Genomic DNA, 19,726 nt, shown 5'->3' with positions numbered 1-19,726 from the left:
ATTACAAGTTCAATAAGCTGAGAAGACACCATTCTTTGCTGAGGACCATATGACTGTTTTGGAAGCTCAACTGGAAGAAGTATTTTATAAATGATGTGGAATTCATGAAGAATTAAGAAAAGAAACTTGGAGGACAGATCCAGGATATCTGAATGTGACTAATAAAAGTTCACTAGAAAGGGAAAAGAGAACAGATGGAGAAGTAATAAATAGGGTAATCAAGAGAGAAAATATGTCTTAGAAAAAAAAGGTTTGAGTTTTCAGGTTACAAAAAACAATTGAGTCCCAAGTAAAGTTAATTATAATTTTTAAAAAACCTAGACCTCCAGTAACATGTCCTGATAAAATTTTTGTATTCCAATTATGGAAAAGAAAATATTACATACTTATAGAAAGAAATGATAGATTACTTACAACGGAAAAAGAATGGGCTACCATCAGACAACTTGTGTGCAACACTAGAGGTAAGACTGGAAAAACATTTAAAAATGATTGAATGGGGACAGTATTCTAAGAATCCTATATATCCAGCCATAATATCAATCATCTGTCATAGCAAAGATATTTTTAGACATGCAGAGACTCAGAAAGTCTATAGAAAAACATAGATAATTCCTATATTAAACCATTTCAGACCATAGAAAAAGATGAACAACTTTTCAAATCTGTTCAATGAAGGTTGTGTAACCATACTGGAAAAACTTTATATAGGATTTATTTTTTAAAAAAAGAGAAGCAAAGAACAAACAAATGAAATAAAACCCACTACTCTAGGCCAACTTTATTTATGACTATAGATACAAAGTATAAATGAAGCACTGGCAAATTGAATCCATCACTGTATTAAAAGGATGATATACTATGACTAGGGAGAGTTTATTCCACAAGTGTAGATGGCTCAATTCCCAGAAGAATACATTTTTTTGATAAGTTGATGTCTTATGAAATTTAGGAAATGTAAATCATAATTCCAACAGAATTTTTCATTGATATTGTCAAGCTGATTCTAAAACATATGTACTAGAATGGCAAAGGAATTAGAATAGCCAAGATGACTTTTTAAAAGAAGCGTAAAGTTAGAGAAATCACACTATTTGGTTTTAACACTTACGCTTAATAAAGCTATAGTAATTAAGACAATAGACCAAAACGAGAGCCCAAAAATAGATCCACACAAATAAGATCAACTGATTTTGTTTGCTTGTTTGTTTGTTTGTTTGTTTGAGACAGCGTCTCGCCCTGTCGCCCAGGCTGGAGTGCAGTGGCGCAATCTTGGCTCACCACAACCTCCGCCTCCTGGGTTCAAGCAATTCTCCTGGCCTCAGCCTCCTGAGTAACTGAGACTACAGGCATATGCCACCACGCCCGGCTAATTTTTTGTGTTTTTAGTAGAGAAGGGGTTTCACAGTGTTAGCCAAGATGGTCTTGATCTCCTGACCTCGTAATCCGCCCACCTTGGCCTTTCAAGACCAACTGATTTTTAAGGAAGGTACAAGATAAATTTATTGGATGAAGAGTAGTCTTTTCAAAAAATGACAATTTGGCATTCATATGCAAAACAATCCACCTAAGCACACACCTTTTTAAAAAAATAACTCAAAATGGATCAGAATTAAAAATGTACATGTAAAAACATGAAACTGTTAGAATAAAATATTCATGACTTGGAGTTAAGCAAAGAGTTCGTAGACATGGTGCCAAAAAAAATAAATGTAAAAAAAAAAGTAATGAGAGTTCACAAGGATATTCAACTTAACATAATAACTCATGAATTAAATAAATTATGGTACCTAGATATTATGTCACCATACACAGTTGTTTTTTTTTTATACTTTCAGTTGTAGGGTACATGTGCACAACGTGCAGGTTTGTTACATATGTATACACGGGCCATGTTGGTTTGCTGCACCCATTAACTCATTATTTACATTAGGTATTTCTCCTAATGCTATCCCTCCCCCATCCCCTCACCCCCACAACAGGCCCCGGTGTGTGATGTTCCCTGCCCTGTGTCCAGCGTTCTCATTGTTCAACTCCCACCTATAAGTGAGAACATGCGGTGTTTGGTTTTCTGTCCTTGCGAATAGTTTGCTGAGAATGATGGTTTCCAGCTTCATCCATGTCCCTACAAAGGACATGAACTCATCTTTTTTTTGGCTGCACAGTATTCCATGGCGTATATGTGCCACATTTTCTTAATCCAGTCTATCATTGATGGACATTTGGGTTGGTTCGAAGTCTTTGCTATTGTGAATAGTGCTGCAATAAACATACATGTGCATGTGTCTTTATAGTAGCATGATTTATAATCCTTTGGGTATATACCCAGTAATGAGATCGCTGGGTCAAATGGTATTTCTAGTCCTAGATCCTTGAGGATTCACCACACTAGTTTACACTCCTACTAACAGTGCAAAAGTGTTCCTATTTCTCCACATCCTCTCCAGCACCTGTTGTTTCCTGACTTTTTAATGATCACCATTCTAACTGGTGTGAGATGGTATCTCATTGTGGTTTTGATTTGCATTTCTCTGATGACCAGTGATGATGAGCATTTTTTCATGTGTCTGTTGTCTGCATGAATGTCTTCTTTTGAGAAGTGTCTGTTCATATCTTTTGCCCACTTGTTGATGGGGTTGTTTGATTTTTTTCTTGTAAATTTATTTAAGTTCCTTGTAGACTCTGGATATTAGCCCTTTGTCAGATGGATAGATGGATAGATTGCAAAAATTTTCTCCCATTCTGTAGGTTGCCTGTTCACTCTGATGATAGTTTCTTTTGCCATGCAGAAGCTCTTTAGTTTAATTAGATCCCATTTGTCTATTTTGCTTTCGATAACTACTTGAATATATTTTTGTAGTGATGTACAAAATAGGTATTTGTTAGTAGTTTTGGGGAAAAATGTTTCCTTTCATTTTTTATACCTCCCTATTTCAATTATGATTAGAACTTTCATAAAGATTGAATGTGGAATTTTGTAAAATGCCTTTTTAGCATTTGCTAAATGTTATTTGCTATAATAACTTTTTTCTCCTTTACATTTTTCATATCATAAATTACATTAAATATTCTGTAACAGAAAAGGATTGTATTATATATCAATACTGCTGTCACAACATTGGGAAGCATTTTCTGTTGTAAGACAAATCACTCAAGATGAATATTATAGAACTCAAAGAAAAAGACTAAAAAGAAAAAAGACTAACATTAAAGATGAAAGGGCAAAATTAACTTCATTTGAAGACTGTATGCTTGCATACTTAGAAAATCCAGAACACTGCTAAGAACAACCTACTAAAATGAATGAGGATTGAACAATTTGGCAATATAAAAGATAAATATATGCTACTGATAGAGTTGGGCTGTTTTTTTGTTGGTTTTTTGTTTTGTTTTGTTTTGTTTTTTGAGACAGAGTCTTGCTCTGTTGTCCAGGCTGGAGTGCAGTGGCGCTATCTCGGCTCACTGCAAGCTCTGCCTCCCGGGTTCACGCCATTCTCCTGCCTCAGCCTCCTGAGTAGCTGGGACTACAGGTGCCTGCCACCACGCCCGGCTAACTTTTTGTACTTTTTTTTAGTAGAGACGGGGTTTCACTCCTGACCTCGTGATCCACCTGCCTCAGCCTCCCAAAGTGCTGGGATTACAGGCGTGAGCCACTATGCCTGGCCAGAGTTGGGTTTTTTTTAACATGCTAGGTGGAGTACAAATATAAAGTGTTTTCATTTTTATATCGTGATGGGCTTTAATAAATATTCTGTTAAAGTTTTCTTTCCTGTCCCTTTCATTTGGGTAGCATCCTTTTTGTTTCAGGAACAAAAAGCATTCTGCTCTAGCTAAGTGTTAAAATTACACAGCAAGACAATTGATCCATCATTATACTATAAACAACTTTGTTTGCTCCTATATATACTTAAAATAATTATTTTAAATTACCATATTGCATAACATAGTATTTATGTACAATATTTAATTAAATGTTCTCTAGTTTTATTAGAGATAATCCTTTAATAATGACTTGTTTTTGCATTTTCTTTTTTTTATTTTATTATTCTTATACTTTAAGTTTTAGGGTACATGTGCATAATTTGCAGGTTTGTTACATATGTATACATGTGCCATGTTGGTGTGCTGCACCCATTAACTTGTCATTTAGCATTAGGTATATCTCCTAATGCTATCCCTCCCCCCTCCCCCCACCCCACAACAGGCCCCAGAGTGTGATGTTCCCCTTCCTGTGTCCATGTGTTCTCATTGTTTAATTCCCACCTATGAGTGAGAACATGCAGTGTTTGATTTTTTGTCCTTGCGATAGTTTGCTGAGAATGATGGTTTCCAGCTTCATCCATGTCCCTACAAAAGACATGAACTCATCATTTTTTATGGCTGCGTAGTATTCCATGGTGTATATGTGCCACATTTTCCTAATCTAGTCTATCATTGTTGGACATTTGGGTTGGTTCCAAGTCTTTGCTATTGTGAATAGTGCTGCAATAAACATATGTGTGCATGTGTCTTTATAGCAGCATGATTTATAATCCTTTGGGTATATACCCAGTAATGGGTGGCTGTGTCAAATGGTATTTCTAGTTCTAGATCCCTGAGGAATTGCCACACTGACTTCCACAATGGTTGAACTAGTTTCCAGTCCCACCAACAGTGTAAAAGTGTTCCTATTTCTCCACATCCTCTCCAGCACCTGTTGTTTCCTGACTTTTTAATGATTGCCATTCTAACTGGTGTGAGATGGTACCTCATTGTGGTTTTGATTTGCATTTCTCTGATGGCCAGTGATGATGAGCATTTTTTCATGTGTTTTTTGGCTGCATAAATGTCTTCTTTTCAGAAGTGTCTGTTCATGTCCTTTGCCCACTTTTTGATGGGATTGTTTGTTTTTTTCTTGTAAATTTGTTTGAGTTCTTTGTAGATTCTGGATATTAGCCCTTTGTCAGATGGGTAGGTTGCAAAAATTTTCTCCCATTCTGTAGGTTGCCTGTTCACTCAGACAGTAGTTTCTTTTGCTGTGCAGAAGCTCTTTAGTTTAATTAGATCCCATTTGTCAATTTTGGCTTTTGTTGCCATTGCTTTTGGTGTTTTAGACATGAAGTCCTTGCCCATGCCTATGTCCTGAATGGTAATGCCTAGGTTTTCTTCTAGGGTTTTTATGGTTTTAGGTTTAACGTTTAAATCTTTAATCCGTCTTGAATTAATTTTTGTATAAGGTGTAAGGAAGGGATCCAGTTTCAGCTTTCTACATATGGCTAGCCAGTTTTCCCAGCACCATTTATTAAATAGGGAATCCTTTCCCCATTGCTTGTTTTTGTCAGGTTTGTCAAAGATCAGATAGTTGTAGATATGTGGCATTATTTCTGAGGGCTCTGCTCTGTTCCATTGGTCTATATCTCTGTTTTGGTACCAGTACCATGCTGTTTTGGTTACTGTAGCCTTGTAGTATAGTTTGAAGTCAGGTAGCGTGATGCTTCCAGCTTTGTTCTTTTGGCTTAGGATTGACTTGGCAATGCAGGCTCTTTTTTGGTTCCATATGAACTTTAAGGTAGTTTTTTCCAATTCTGTGAAGAAAGTCATTGGTAGCTTGATGGGGATGGCATTGAATCTATAAATTCCCTTGGCCAGTATGGCCATTTTCACGATATTGATTCTTCTTATCCATGAGCATGGAATGTTCTTCTATTTGTTTGTACCCTCTTTTATTTCATTGAGGAGTGGTTTGTAGTTCTCCTTGAAGAGGTCCTTCATGTCCCTTGTAAGTTGGATTCCCAGGTATTTTATTCTCTTTGAAGCAATTGTGAATGGGAGTTCACTCATGATTTGGCTCTCTGTTTGTCTGTTATTGGTGTAAAAGAATGCTTGTGATTTTTGCACATTGATTTTGTATCCTGAGACTTTGCTGAAGTTGCTTATCAGCTTAAGGAGATTTTGGTCTGAGACGATGGGGTTTTCTAGATATACAATCATCTCATCTGCAAACAGGGACAATTTGACTTCCTGTTTTCCTAATTGAATGCCCTTTATTTCCTTCTCCTGCCTAATTGCCCTGGCCAGAACTTCCAACACTATGTTGAATAGGAGTGGTGAGAGAGGGCATCCCTGTCTTGTGCCAGTTTTCAAAGCGAATGCTTCCAGTTTTTGTCCATTCAGTATGATATTGGCTGTGGGTTTGTCACAGATAGCTCTTATTATTTTGAGATACGTCCCAACAATACCTAATTTATTGAGAGTTTTTATCATGAAGCGTTGTTGAATTTTGTCAAAGGCCTTTTCTGCATCTATTGAGATAATCATGTGGTTTTTGTCTTTGATTCTGTTTATATGCTGGATTACGTTTATTGATTTTCATATGTTGAACCAGCCTTGCATCCCAGGGATGAAGCCCACTTGATCATGGTGGATAAGCTTTTTCATGTGCTGCTGGATTCGGTTTGCCACTATTTTATTGAGGATTTTTGCATCAATGTTCATCAAGGATATTGGTCTAAAATTCTCTTTTTTTGTTGTGTCTCTGCCAGGCTTTGGTATCAAGATGATGCTGGCCTCATAAAATGAGTTAGGGAGGATTCCCTCTTTTTCTACTGATTGGAATAGTTTCAGAAGGAATGGCACCAGTTCCTCCTTGTACCTCTGGTAGAATTTGGCTGTGAATCCATCTGGTCCTGGACTTCTTTTGGTTGGTAAGCTATTAATTATTGCCTCAATTTCAGAGCCTGTTATTGGTCTATTCAGAGATTCAACTTCTTCCTGGGTTAGTCTTGGGAGGGTGTATGTGTCGAGGAATGTATCCATTTCTTCTAGATTTTCTAGTTTATTTGCGTAGAGGTGTTTATAGTATTCTCTGACAGTTGTTTGTATTTCTGTGGGATTGATGGTGATATCCCCTTTGTTATTTTTTATTGCATCTATTTGATTCTTCTCTCTTTTCTTCTTTATTAGTCTTGTTTTTAAATGAGACAACATCTCATTTTGTCACCCAGGCTGGAGTGCAGTGGCACGATCTTGGCTCACTGCAGGCTTGACCTCCCAGGTTCAAGTGATCCTCCTGCCTCACTCTCCACAAGTAGCTGGGATGACAGCTGCACACCACCATGCCTAGCCAATTTTTGTATTTCTTGTAGGGATGGGGTTTCACCATGTTGTCCAGACTGGTCTCAAGCTCCTGAGCTCAAGTAATCTGCCCACCATGGCTTCCCAAAGTACTAGGACCTATTACAGGTGTGAGCCATCGTGCCCAGCCAGTAATGATGCTTTAATTATATGCCTACATTCTTAGAATTGTTTCTTTAGCATAAATTCCCAAGTATGTATAAATGCTTTAATATTTCTTGGGTTTTCATTTTCCAAGTTCTTTTCCAAGAAGGCTGTACCAATGTGCACTGTTATTAATTTAGCAATATTGGTTGACTATTTCTCTCTTACCGTTGTGATTGAGCAGAATATTTAATTGTATTTTATCATCATCTTTATCCTGTTCCTATTATCTGTATTTTATATAAATATACCTTTTTAATGTAAAAAAAACGCCCAGTGATCAACAAGGGCTCCAACTTTAGTATAATACCAATTATATAATTCTTGTTCAATACATGTTTGGTTTAGAATCTTGTCTGACAAGTGGTCACAGGGGAAAGGGGCCTGGATCTTTTGTTCCATCCTGAGCAGAGGGGTTTCTTTGGCTGACCATTCTTTCCATTGAACTTAACAACATATTTTTTACTGGAATTTAACAGTTGTTGGAGGATGCCTTAGGAATAGATAAAAGAGCAGTACAGAGGGAAGGGGTCAAGTGTACTTTTCAGTGATGAGGGAGGTATGAGAGTGACCCCAAAAGGCCTAAAAAGGATACAGGAGAGGTTCTGGATTGGGGTAAGATGCAGTAAGTACACTCCAGCCTGTTGCTTCCAAATCCCTGTAAAGGATGCATTGAGCAGCCATGTGAAGAGCTGAAAAACAAGGAGTAACAGGCAGATGGGCAAGGAGACTAGAATTCAAGTGCCATTGGACTGGCAGTGGTGCCGCTTTATTTCCCTCCAGTACAACAGGTCCTTGAATTACCTTGCTTTGTTCAAAGTCATTTCATATAAACTCAATGAGAAAAACATCTATTCCCAACTGGGACCACTGTCTGTGTGGAGTTTGCATGTTCTCCATATCTGTTTGGGTTGTGGGTTTTTTTCTGGGTTCTCTGGTTTCCCAAAGCTGTCCACATTCAGTTAATTGCATGTCTAAATTGTCTCAATATAAGTTAGCATGGTATGAGCATCCCTGTAATGAGAGAGCGTCCTGTCCAGGGTTGTGCCTGACTTGTTCTGAGTTCCTGGATAGGGAGGCTCTTGTCACCTATGACCCTGCACTGGAATAAGTGGGTAGGAAAATGAAAGAAAGATACAAAGAGAGAAAGAAAGAAAAAGAGAGAAAGAAAGAAAGAAAGAAAGAAAGAAAGAAAGAAAGAAAGAAAGAAAGGAAAAGAAAATTACTGTAAAATAAAAAATTCATAAACTCTACAACAATCATACCCATGCAGGACAATAAATGCATCACGAAAGTGCTCAGGGGGCCGCCATGTTTGTTATTACTTGTTTTTGAACTGTGGGATGGTGAGAGGGGCTTCTTACTATTTTCACTTTGCAAACATTTATTCCTTGATTTAACCCACCACTGCTATGACTGCCATCACTCACTGATTCACCAAAAATTGGGTAAATAGTGATCTTACTTGTTTTTATTAATCTTTCTTAAGTGTATATATAGCTCACATTTATTTCAATGTTTAATATTAGAAGTGTTTTGGGTCTTTATTTATAAGTTTAATGATGCTTTTGTGACCAGAAGTATTCCTTAGGAACTTCACTCTTGTTAATATCAAGTAGCCTATAGTAAAATTGGTTTCATCAAATGTTGTTTCATTTAAAGTCACAGTTTCCAAAAACCTATTGACAACATTAGGTGAGGACTTACTGTATTCCCTGGCCTGAACTCAGTGTAGCCCAAAACTTGGATGGATAGAGACCATTGGCATGGATAGAGACCATTGGCATGGATAGAGACTGCTCCAGGAGCAGCCCTCTAGTCTGACTTGCAGAGTGTGGAAGGGGTCTTCTGACATTCATAGAGAGCAAGGTGTAGAAATCTTCACCCCCTTATTTTTGTTTTCCTATTCTCTCACACTCTGGCTTCCAAACAATCTAATGCCAATGGTGGCACCAGCAAAAACAACGAGGGCCCACAGGAGCCTAAAACTCTGATGAAGAAAACTTCCCTCACCAATTGGAGGAGCGGTGATCCTCCCTGGGAAGGATAAAATCCTGTTCTTTTTCTCTTTCCTCTTGCTGCTTGACCATAGACATTGGTACACTTGGAAAGGTGTATGGCAGATCAGAATAAATATGCTGCCATGTTTCTGTCTGGAGGAATGTAAAGGGGAGTCTCTAAGGGAATCAGAAAGTACTAAGGAAGTCACGGACAGGATGGGGCTCAGGAAAGCAGCCACATAAGTTCATCATGAATCTACAGCTCAGCAGCAAGTTGTGCATGCATGGATCTCCCTATGAGCAGCATGCCATAGATCAAGAACTGAACTATGGGACAGACCGCCATCCAGATACCAGATGGAACTGGGTGAGACACATGGAACAGATACTAATAACACCACAAGGATTTGAAAACGTAACATTGAAACCACAACCTAAAAAGACTGGTCAGAATTTGTGGCCTCAAAAGGTTGATTGCCTGGTAAAACAAAAATATCAATATCCTACAGATGATTAAAACAAAATCCAGAGTTTTACGATGCAAATATTTAAAATGTTCAGTATACAATCCCAAATTACTCGTCCTGTGAAGAACCAAGAAAATCACAATTCTTAGTGGAAAAGACAGTCAGCATATCAATACCAAGATGACACAGAAGTTAGAATTATCTGACAAAGACTTTTAACAGCTATTACAAAAATGCTCCAGCAAGTTTGAACGTCCTTGAAATCAATGGAAAGATAGAAAATATCAGCAAAGAAATGAAAGCTAGAAAGAAGAATAAAATGTAAATTTTATAACTAAAAAAATACAGTAGATGAAATTTTAAAAAAGGATAGGCTACATAGAAAAATGGAGATGATGGAGGAAAGAATCAATAACCTTGAAGATAGAGCAATAAAAATTATGAAAATGAAACAGTAAAGATTATGAAATCTATAAAAAGATTGGGGGAAAATGGGAAGACCTTCAGGGACCTGTGGGACAATACCCCCAACAAAGCCCCCAGAAGAAAGCAGAAAGAGGGCAGTGCAGAAAGAATACTTGAAGAAATATTGGCTGAAAACATTGTCAAATTTGATGGGAGACAAGAATCTACACAATCAAAAAACTCAACAAGCCCCAAATAGGCTAAATACGAAAAGATCCACACTGAGACACATTAAAATCAAACTGAAAAATCAGAGACAAAGAGAGCACCTTGAAAGCAGTAAGAGAGAAGCAACTCATCACATACTAAGAATTCTCAATAAGATTAGCTGCCAATTTCTTATCAAAAACCATGGGCACCATAAGACAGTGAAATGACATATTCAAAGTACTGAAAGAAAACTACTGTCAACCAAATATTCCATATCTATCAAAACTATCTTTCAAAGCTGAAGAAGTGTTTTAATTTAATTAATAAAATTTAATTGAATTAATAAAACATTCCCAGACAAGCAAAATCTGAAAGAGTTTATCTCTAGAATACCTGCCTAACAAGAAATGCTAAAGGCAGTTCTTCAGGTCAAAATGAAAAGACACTAGATGGTAAATTAAAGCCATACAAAGAAATAAATAAGGAGCACTGGTAAAGTTAACCACATGGGTAAATATAAGTGTCCTACTGTTTTGGGATGCAGTGTTGTATTATGTATTTTTGGAAAATAATAATTATAGATTTACATTAAGGGGCAATGTATAAATATGTAATTTGTGACAATAACAACATATAAAGGGAAGAAAAACACTGTATGACCAGAGGATTTATATACTATTGAAGCTAAGTTGGCATTGATTCAAATTAGTTTCTTATAAATTTAAGGTATCAGTTTTAATCCCCATAATAATCAATAAGAAGGTCGCTTTTAAAATATACGGAAAAATAAGTGAGAGGTAAATCAAAATGGTATACTGTGAAAACTCAGTTAAACCAAAAAGAAGGCAATAATGGAGGAATAGAGGAACAAACAAAGAATAACATATGGAGAGGCAAAATAGCAAAATGGCATAAGTCCTTCCTTACTAATTACTTTAAATGTAAATGGATTAAACTCTCCAATTAAAAGGCAGAGTTTGGAAGAACAGATTTTTTCTTTCTTTTTTCTTTTACTTTAAGTTCTGGGATACATATGCAGAACATGCAGGTTTGTTACATAGGTATACGTGTGCCATGGTGGTTTGCTGCACCCATCAACCCATCATCTAGGTTTTAAGCCCCACATGCACTAGGTATTTGTCCTAATGCTCTCCCTCCCCTTTCCCCCCACCCCTTGACAGGCCCCAGTATGTGATGTTCCTGGGACTTCCTGTGTCCACATGTTCTCATTGTTCAACTCCCACTTATGAGTGAGAACATGCAGTGTCTGGTTTTCTGTTCCTGTGTTAGTTTGCTGAGAATGATGGTTTCCAGCTTCATCCACGTCCCTACAAAGGACATGAACTCAAGCTTTTTTACGGCTGCATAGTATTTCATGGTGTATATGTGCCACATTTCTTTTATCCAGTCTATCATTGATGGTCATTTGGGTTGGTTCCAAGTCTTTGCTATTGTGAATAGTGCTGCAATAAACATATGTGTGCATATGTCTTTATAGTAGAATGATTTATAATCCTTTGGGTATATACCCAGTAATGGGATTGCTGGGTCAAATGGTGTTTCTGGTTCTAGATCCTTGAGGAATCGCCACACTGTCTTCCACAATTGTTGAACTAATTTACACTCCCACCAACAGTGTAAAAGTGTTCCTATTTCTCCACATCCTCACCAGCATCTGTTGTTTCCAGACTTTTTAATGATTGCCATTCTAACTGGCATGAGATGGTATCTCATTGTGGTTTTGATTGGCATTTCTCTAATAACACATTCAGGTCCAAAGTTCAGGGGGCACCACTGTAATTTGTTTTCTTCAACAATACAACTTAATCTCTATTTTGTACCCCCCATTCATTGGGGGCGAGAAGGCTTAATCTATCTCCATGTCAGGATAACCTGAGTCATCTTGGATTTCATCTGGATTTTCCCCTTGCCTTTCTTGTTCCTGATAAAAGCGGTGGCTGGCCGGGCGCAGCCTGTAATCCCAGCACTTTGGGAGGCCGAGGCAGGCAGATCACGAAGTCAGGAGATCGAGACCACCCTGGCTAACAGAGTGAAACCCTGTCTCTGCTAAAAATACAAAAACTTAGCCAGATGTGGTGGTGGGTGCCTATAGTCCCAGCTACTCGGGAGGCTGAGGCAGGATAATGGTGTGAATCCGGGAGGTGGAGCTTGCAGTGAGCCGAGATCGTGCCACTGCACTCCAGCCTGGGTGACAGAGTGAGACTCCGTCTCAAAAAAAAAAAAAAAAAAAAGTGGTAGCTGAGGGAGTGGGGAGGTGGGCACGCATGGGATGCAGGCATCTGCAGGAGCTCTCCACCATGCTCGGCACCTGTCCGCATCAGTGTCTGCTAAGCTGCATACCCCCTGCCTGGTTCTCAGCATTGCCACACTCCTGTCAGGCTTGAGTTGATGACCCACATCTTCTGCGTCCTCCCTCATGAGGATGTCGTGAAATCTGCGTTCATCTCAGGGCCCAGGAAAGCTCCAGGAGCCTGGGAGGGTCACATGGGAACCTTCCGAGAGCCTCCTTGCCTGCTTCAGGGTCTTGCAGGTGAGTGGGGGAGCCCCGACCCGGGCTGCCTGTTGGGGCTCTCTTGCCCTAGGATTCTCAAACTCTTCTTGGGCTTCAAAGTTTATTTAGAAGCTCAAAACCTGAGTGTTAATCGGTTTATTCCTTCTGCATTTCTGGGTGAATATGTGCCAGGAAGGGGCCTACCCTATTGATCTTTCAATCCAAGCAGCCCACCCCAAGGTCCAATACCACAGACTCCATCCTCTCTATATTTGAGGAAGTTCCTCAGCACACTGAGCCCTTGTCCAGGACAAAAACGCTGCTTATTAAGCACTTTGCCAACCACTGAGTTAAATTCTCTGTATATGACGATTCACTTAGTCCTCACAACAAAATATGTGCTAGTCGTATTTCCATTTTACAGTTGAGGAAACTGAGTCACAGAGCGATCACGTAGCTCCCCAAGCTCCCATAGCTAGTAAGCACTGAGAGGGATTCAAGCCCAGGTACTTCCAGGTACTTCCTGCCTTGATCTTATCAGCCACGCTGGCTCTGCTGCTTTACTGCGACATGGCTGCTCAGCCCAACCCCACTCTCAGCTGGCCTGGACTGGCCTTGGCTAGTTGGCATGTGACCGTGGTGGGTGCCACATGCCCTTCCAGATACCCATCGGGCCAGGGGATGCATTCCCCTACATGCCCCTCCCCAACCCGGTCTATACCCTCCGCAGGGGAAGCCTCCACCTAGTGGACACAGGAGTGTGAAAGCACCTGCCCTGCTTCCATCCACAGCAGCCCAGGGCCCCGGGTCACTGACCAAGGCCTCTGTTGACTACTGACTACATGGAAGCTCAACTCCCCTCTGACAACTCCATGCCCCACAGGTGCTGTAACTGTGAGCACACCTCAGAGCCAGTGTCCTAGGTATAGCCCGGAGACAGTGAGCATGCAAGCAGATGGCCCCTCTGTGGGGGTGGCTGGAAAGCAAGCCATCTGCCCAAGTGTCTGAACAGACTGGGCCTGGGGAAGCCCATGGCAGAGATCTGGACCTGGGGAAAGGACCTGTCTGCTGCCCACTGCCAGGGCCTGGGCAGCCCAGGTGATGCTGCTGGGTGCCATATCCCCACGTCTCAAAACGCGTTTTGCAAACACAGCTCCTGGCATCTTAGGGAGCAGCAGGGGGCCTCCTGTCACCTGGTAGTGTGTGTCTCCTCACCTTGAATCTGGAATAAATCCCTGCAGGTGGCAGACTGGTAGCCTGGAAGGGAGGACTGTGGAGGGGGTCAAGAGGCCTCCCCTCAAACACAGTGTGGGGGACAATGAGCCCGATGTACCCAGAGATTTTTATTTGAGACCTGGAGCTCTCCCGCATGAGCTGTGTGAGTTTGGGCCATTGGTTTGCCCTCTCTGGAAGCCACCCTGTCACATGGAATAAAGGGCGATGAAAGTTACATGTTCCCAAGGAGACTTTCCTGTCAGGGCAGGGGACACTCAAGGCCATTTCCCCTCTCTCTTCCCCAACCCCTGCACCCCATTAGGCCTCAACTAGGAGGGGAAGAAACAGACAAGAGATCTCTCCCATGGACTCGGGTCCCAGACAGTCCTCGATAAGCTGAGAAACCTGACCCTTGGCAGCCCTGAAGGACTCCGAAGTAAAGTCTGTGCCACATAATGGAAAATATTATTCAGCTGAGCTTTAAATAGCTGATGTGATGTGTCTGGGGCTGGAAGGTGGCCCGTGGAAGCTGCCAGAGCAGCCGGTCCCCACATGTGGGGCTTGAGAAGGACCCTGAGTCACTTCACGGTTCAGAGCTTTGCAGGGTCCTAGGGGCCTCCCCAGGAGCACCTGGTTTTACTCAGGGTTCCGAGGAAACCACAGCTGTTCCCCACCTCCCACACACCTCAGCGGTGGTCAGAAGGTTACAGACAAGCATTATGCTGCATTAGCATCCTAAGAAAGCGGTTCTCAAACTCAAGGCGGGGTCAGAATCACATAGAGGACTTGTGGGCTCACAGGCTGCTGAGCTCCAGCCCCGAGTTCCTGATTTAGGAAGCCTGGGGGCCTGAGAAGCTGCACTTCCAACAAGTTCCCAGATGCCATGCTGCTGCTGGTCTGAGGCACACTTTGAGACTCCTGGCTTGAGGCCAGCTGTACTAGAATCACCTGGGAATCTCTAACAATCACAATACCCAGATGACACCACAGACAAATCTGACTCAATGGGGTTGGGGCCCAGGCATTAGCATTTTGTAAGGCTCCTCAGGTGATTCTAAGGTGAACCCAAGTTTGCAAGCCATTGCTCCAGGGAGTCAGGATACCACAGGGAGAAAACCAGGAACAGCTCCAGGCAGCGTACCATCAGGGACAACTGGGAAGTGGGATAACGGGTGCCTCTAATGCCTCCAGGAGCCACTGGAATCCCAGCTAGAAGGGGGCCACTCAGCTGCAAAAGGCTTTTGGGAAGAGCCTGATGCTGGTGGGCTGCTCACATGGACCACATTTGGGCTCCTCACTGCTTAAAATGGGCCTGGGGACCAACAGCATCACTAGGAGCTTGTGAGCAGTGCAGAATTTCAGGCTCCACTCCAGAGCTAGCAAGTCCGAATCTGCACTTGAACAACATCCCTGGGCAATTATTGTGCACTTTAAAGTCTGAGAAGCAATGATGGGCGAGGTAGGTGAGATCTGCCAGCACCTGAGTAGGGGGTGGAGGAAAAGCCCAAGGGTGTCCCCAGGGCTATCTAGTCAGTTCCCCAAATCCAGATAACGCTGGAAAGCTGAGGTGCTCTTATTTATACACAAATCGCCTGGAGAGCTGGGTGTGTGTATCTAAATCTGTATCTTCAGAACTCCCAAGGAAACTCCCAATTTGCCAAGACTAGGATTCCAAGAGGTCCTCTCCCCCTCTAATCATCTGGCTGAACCCTCAAACCTGAGACCATCAAACCTGGATGGAGTTATAACCTGTCCTAACCAGAACCTGGCCCAGCGATCTTGAACATGGCCAACACATTAGAATTACCCAGGTTGCTTTAAAATCTCTTCTGCGTCTGACTACATCAGAAGCTGTGGGGGTGGGGCCCAAGTGGGAGGGCTTTGAAGCTCCCCAGGTGACTCCAATTAGAACCAGGGCGTGCCCATCTTCAATATTCTCTCCACTGACCTCCCTCCCACAGCCTTCACCTCTGCGTAGCGTGTGCTGTTAACTTGGAGACCAGATTCTCCTGATGGAAAGATACCGAGATCTTCCTTCCAGAGAGGGAATGACATTCTGCACACAAAGCAATTTCGCTTATCTTTGCTGAGCTTGCAAAACTGTGAGAGAGCTACAGTCCTTGGATTGGTTTACTCATGTCTATCTGATTTCTCAGCAAAACATTCATCAGTTCAAGCAGCTGCCATCAGAGCATGCCTGTGGCACCAACAGGGGCTGCTGGAGCAGCAACATCCAGGGAACTGAGGCCAGAACAAATTTCCCTTGTGCCATCCGTATTTCGGTGGTGGCACACATGCATGCCTAGTTGGCAGTGCAAGCACTCACTTTTGTTTTTTATTTTACTTATTTATTTATTTTTTTGAGACAGGGTCTCACTCTGTCACCCAACCTGGAGTGCAGTGGGAAAGTACAGCTCACTGCAGTGTCAAACTCCTGGGCTCAAGCAACTCTCTGCCTCAGCCTCCCAAGTAGCTGGGACTATAGCGTGTGCCATCACGCCCCATTAATTGTTTTTTATTATTATTTTGTAGAGATGGAGTTTTGCTACGTTGACCAGGCTGGTTTCAAACGCCTGACCTCAAGCAATCCTCCTGCTACGGCCTCCCTGAGTGCTGGTGTGAGCTACTGCACCCAGCCAGACCTCACTTTTTTTTTTTTTTTTTTTTTTTTGAGACAGAGTTTCGCTCTGTCGCCCAGGCTGGAGTGCAGTGGTGCGATCTCGGCTCACTGCAAGCTCTGCCTCCTGGGTTAGTGCCATTCTCCTGCCTCAGCCTCCCAAGTAGCTGGGACCACAGGCGCCCACCACCACGCCTGGCTAATTTTTTGTATTTTCAGTAGAGACGGGGTTTCACCATGTTAGCCAGGATGGTCTCGATCTCCTGACCTCATGATCTGCCTGCCTCAGCCTCCCAAAGTGCTGGGATTACAGGCGTGAGCCACCGCTCCCAGCCTCGAGTGGGTCTTTCTGGAACAGGTGCCTGGGGTGTCTTTTCATGAGAGGAGTGTCTCAGGGCTGACTCCGTTTTGTCTGCAGTGGGCAGTGATGGCCACAGATGTCAGGCTTCTCTGCCCAAATTGCCAGACAGAGCTCAGAACGTCCTTTTGGTAATTCTTTAAATTTTTATTTTTAAACTCAAAAGACCAGGCAGGCCCTACAAAAGGCCAAGAGCAGCAAGCTCCAAGTTTGGGAAGGGATGGGGGGTAGTGGGATTAGTGAAGAGGAAACTCGGGAGAGAATGAATTCTCTGCTTGATGCCAAGGAGAAAAGAATGGGAAGAAAATTTTCAACCCAATTCTTCCATTGTCTGGCCCCAAAATCAGTTTTATGGTGTTCCTTCTGCTCACTGGTTTGCCCAGCTCTATAATGGGTACAGTAATTGTGATGAAACTTCAAGAGGTGGGATATATCAGTAGTTGGTTTATTCAGCCCCTGTCTCAGCCTGGGCGAGGATTTGTGGAAGATGCAGATGTAGAATTCTGAGTCCCTTTATTCAATGAGCTCAGAAAGTAGTTGTAGAGAAAAGAGTGACCAGTTTAACAGAAGCAGAGAATAAAATCATCTATAACGATGTTTTAGAGACAAGAGCACAGAGTTCTCAAGCATAAGTAAATAAGCATCAGAATTCCCTGGGGGCTTGTTAAGGCACAGGTGGCTGGTGCCATCCCCAGAGTGCCTGCGTCCATGGGTCTGGGAGGGACCTGAGAATGTGCATTTCGAACACACTCCCACATCTGGCTGATATTGCTGGTCCAAGGATGACACGGTGAAAACCACTGGAGTAGCAGAAGCTCTGAGAAGGAAGAGCTGGCCGTGCACTGGACCTGGCTGGAATATTAGGGAACTTTAATTCCTTCCTTGCTGCCCTGTTTAGTATAAAATTAGGGGCATGCAGCTGCAGCTGGTGGGGGCTTCCTGGGAGTGGTTATTTTGCTGCGTCCATACAAAGCAGGTGGTTTCTAGCTCAGTGTTCCCTCTCTGTAGTGATGGACCCATTTTATTTTTGTTCCAACCCATTGTGGACTAATTCTTCTGTAAAATACAGGATCGGCTGGGGGCGATGGCTCACGCCTGTAATCCTAACACTTTGGGAGGCCGAGGCGGGTGGATCACCTGCGGTCAGCAGTTCAAGACCAGCCTGGCCAACATGGTGAAACCCTGTCTCTACTAAAAAAAAAAGAAAAAAAAATACTAAAAATTAGCCAGGCGTGGTGGCGGGCACCTGTAATCCCAGCTACTCAGGAGGTTGAGGCAGGAGAATTGCTTGAACCTGGGAAGTGGAGGTTGCAGTGAGCTGAGATTGCGCCATTGCACTCCAGCCAGGGCAATAAGAGCAAAACTCTGTCTCAAAGAAAAAAAAATACAGTATCATAGGTGTGGGTGTTGCAGCTCTGTTGAAGCTCCACGAATGTTTCTAAATGCTCATCCTGTCACCAACTGGTAACAAGGAGCTCATGAACCAGCGCCAGGCCATGGGCCACTTTGAGGGGCCCCACCATGTAGCTCTGCGTCCCCTAGACATCTTCACACATGCACCCCGAAAGCAGCCCACGGCCCAGCATGAGCCAAGCACAGGGAATGGCTGTCATTCTCTCTGGGTCTGTGCCCTGAAATGGGGCGTGAGCCCCCTGGAAAAGTATGAAGGAAACCACAGGATGGCGACCACACGCATGAAGGCAGGCTCACCCCTCCCTACCTGAAGCCCAGCCCCAGGGCACCCTTCCTCTGTGGCTAAGGAGAGATGGTTCTGGAGGCCACAGCAGGTGCTGGGGCTTGAGAGAGGAGCTCTGACAGGATCCTGCGAGAGGAACTAAAGCAGACACGGCCACACCTCTCTCCAGCTCCAAGCCCCGCACCCCCAAACTGTACCCATGTCCCAAAAAAGGGTCAGGCCTGACTGGCCGGGAGCTGCTGCCCCCAAAGGCCCCTGTGACTGCAAAATCTGGCTAGGACCCCAGGATACTCCTCTTTCCTGATCTGTCCTGCCAGCTCCCTTCCCAGGCTGCCTTGAAGTTCCAGGCCCCATCCTGGCATCTTTGGCAATGACAGGTGAGTCACAGAACCACAGGAACCCGAATCACCATAAAGAAGGCCATGGGAAGTCAGGCTGTGCCCCCAGTGCCTTGCTGAGAGTGGCCTGAAGCCATTTGCCACCCACTGTCCACTGCTCCAAGTATTTGGGCTGTGCCTGGAAGCTGGAGCCATGGGGAGAGCAGAAAGTGGACAGGAGAAACAGCAGGCAGGGTCAGCGAGGCCAACACAAGGCCAGATGCTCATCTGGGTAAGGAGAGGAGCCCTGTCCATTTTCCTTTGGTCTTTGCTGAACATATTTCCGAACAATGACTCTCCACTTCCTGCCTTCCATTGGCCTGGACAGCACTGCACTTTTTCCTTTGGCCTTTCCCTGGCATTTAGCATTTCTCCAGCCTTCTCCAAATTTCCACTGAAGTGTAGGGGTTGCAAAGGGGCACCAACACAGGTCCTACTCTCAAGGCAGTTAAAGTCCTGTGAGTTGTATCAGCTAGCTATTGCTGCATAAGAAATCTCCCCAAGCTTCCTGATTTACGAACAACAATCATTTGGCCTAAACATTACAATTCATGGCTGCTGTCGGTCAGGGATTCAGGCAGTGCGGGGCAGGGACAGCTCACCTCTGCTCCA

General features: G+C 43.0%; 2 annotated features.

Annotated features, from left to right (window-relative positions):
- Positions 14,433–14,482: an enhancer, noted in NCBI's record as "active region_17595". NCBI's record gives its function as "activates an Ori minimal core promoter by ATAC-STARR-seq in GM12878 lymphoblastoid cells {active_cell/tissue: GM12878}" and the evidence as "EXISTENCE:reporter gene assay evidence [ECO:0000049][PMID:35858748]".
- Positions 14,863–14,912: an enhancer, noted in NCBI's record as "active region_17594". NCBI's record gives its function as "activates an Ori minimal core promoter by ATAC-STARR-seq in GM12878 lymphoblastoid cells {active_cell/tissue: GM12878}" and the evidence as "EXISTENCE:reporter gene assay evidence [ECO:0000049][PMID:35858748]".

This window comes from Homo sapiens, chromosome 20 (assembly GCF_000001405.40).
Source record: "Homo sapiens chromosome 20, GRCh38.p14 Primary Assembly".
In the NCBI taxonomy this organism is placed as follows: Eukaryota; Metazoa; Chordata; class Mammalia; order Primates; family Hominidae; genus Homo; species Homo sapiens.
This window is presented reverse-complemented; position numbering and strand designations above follow the sequence as displayed.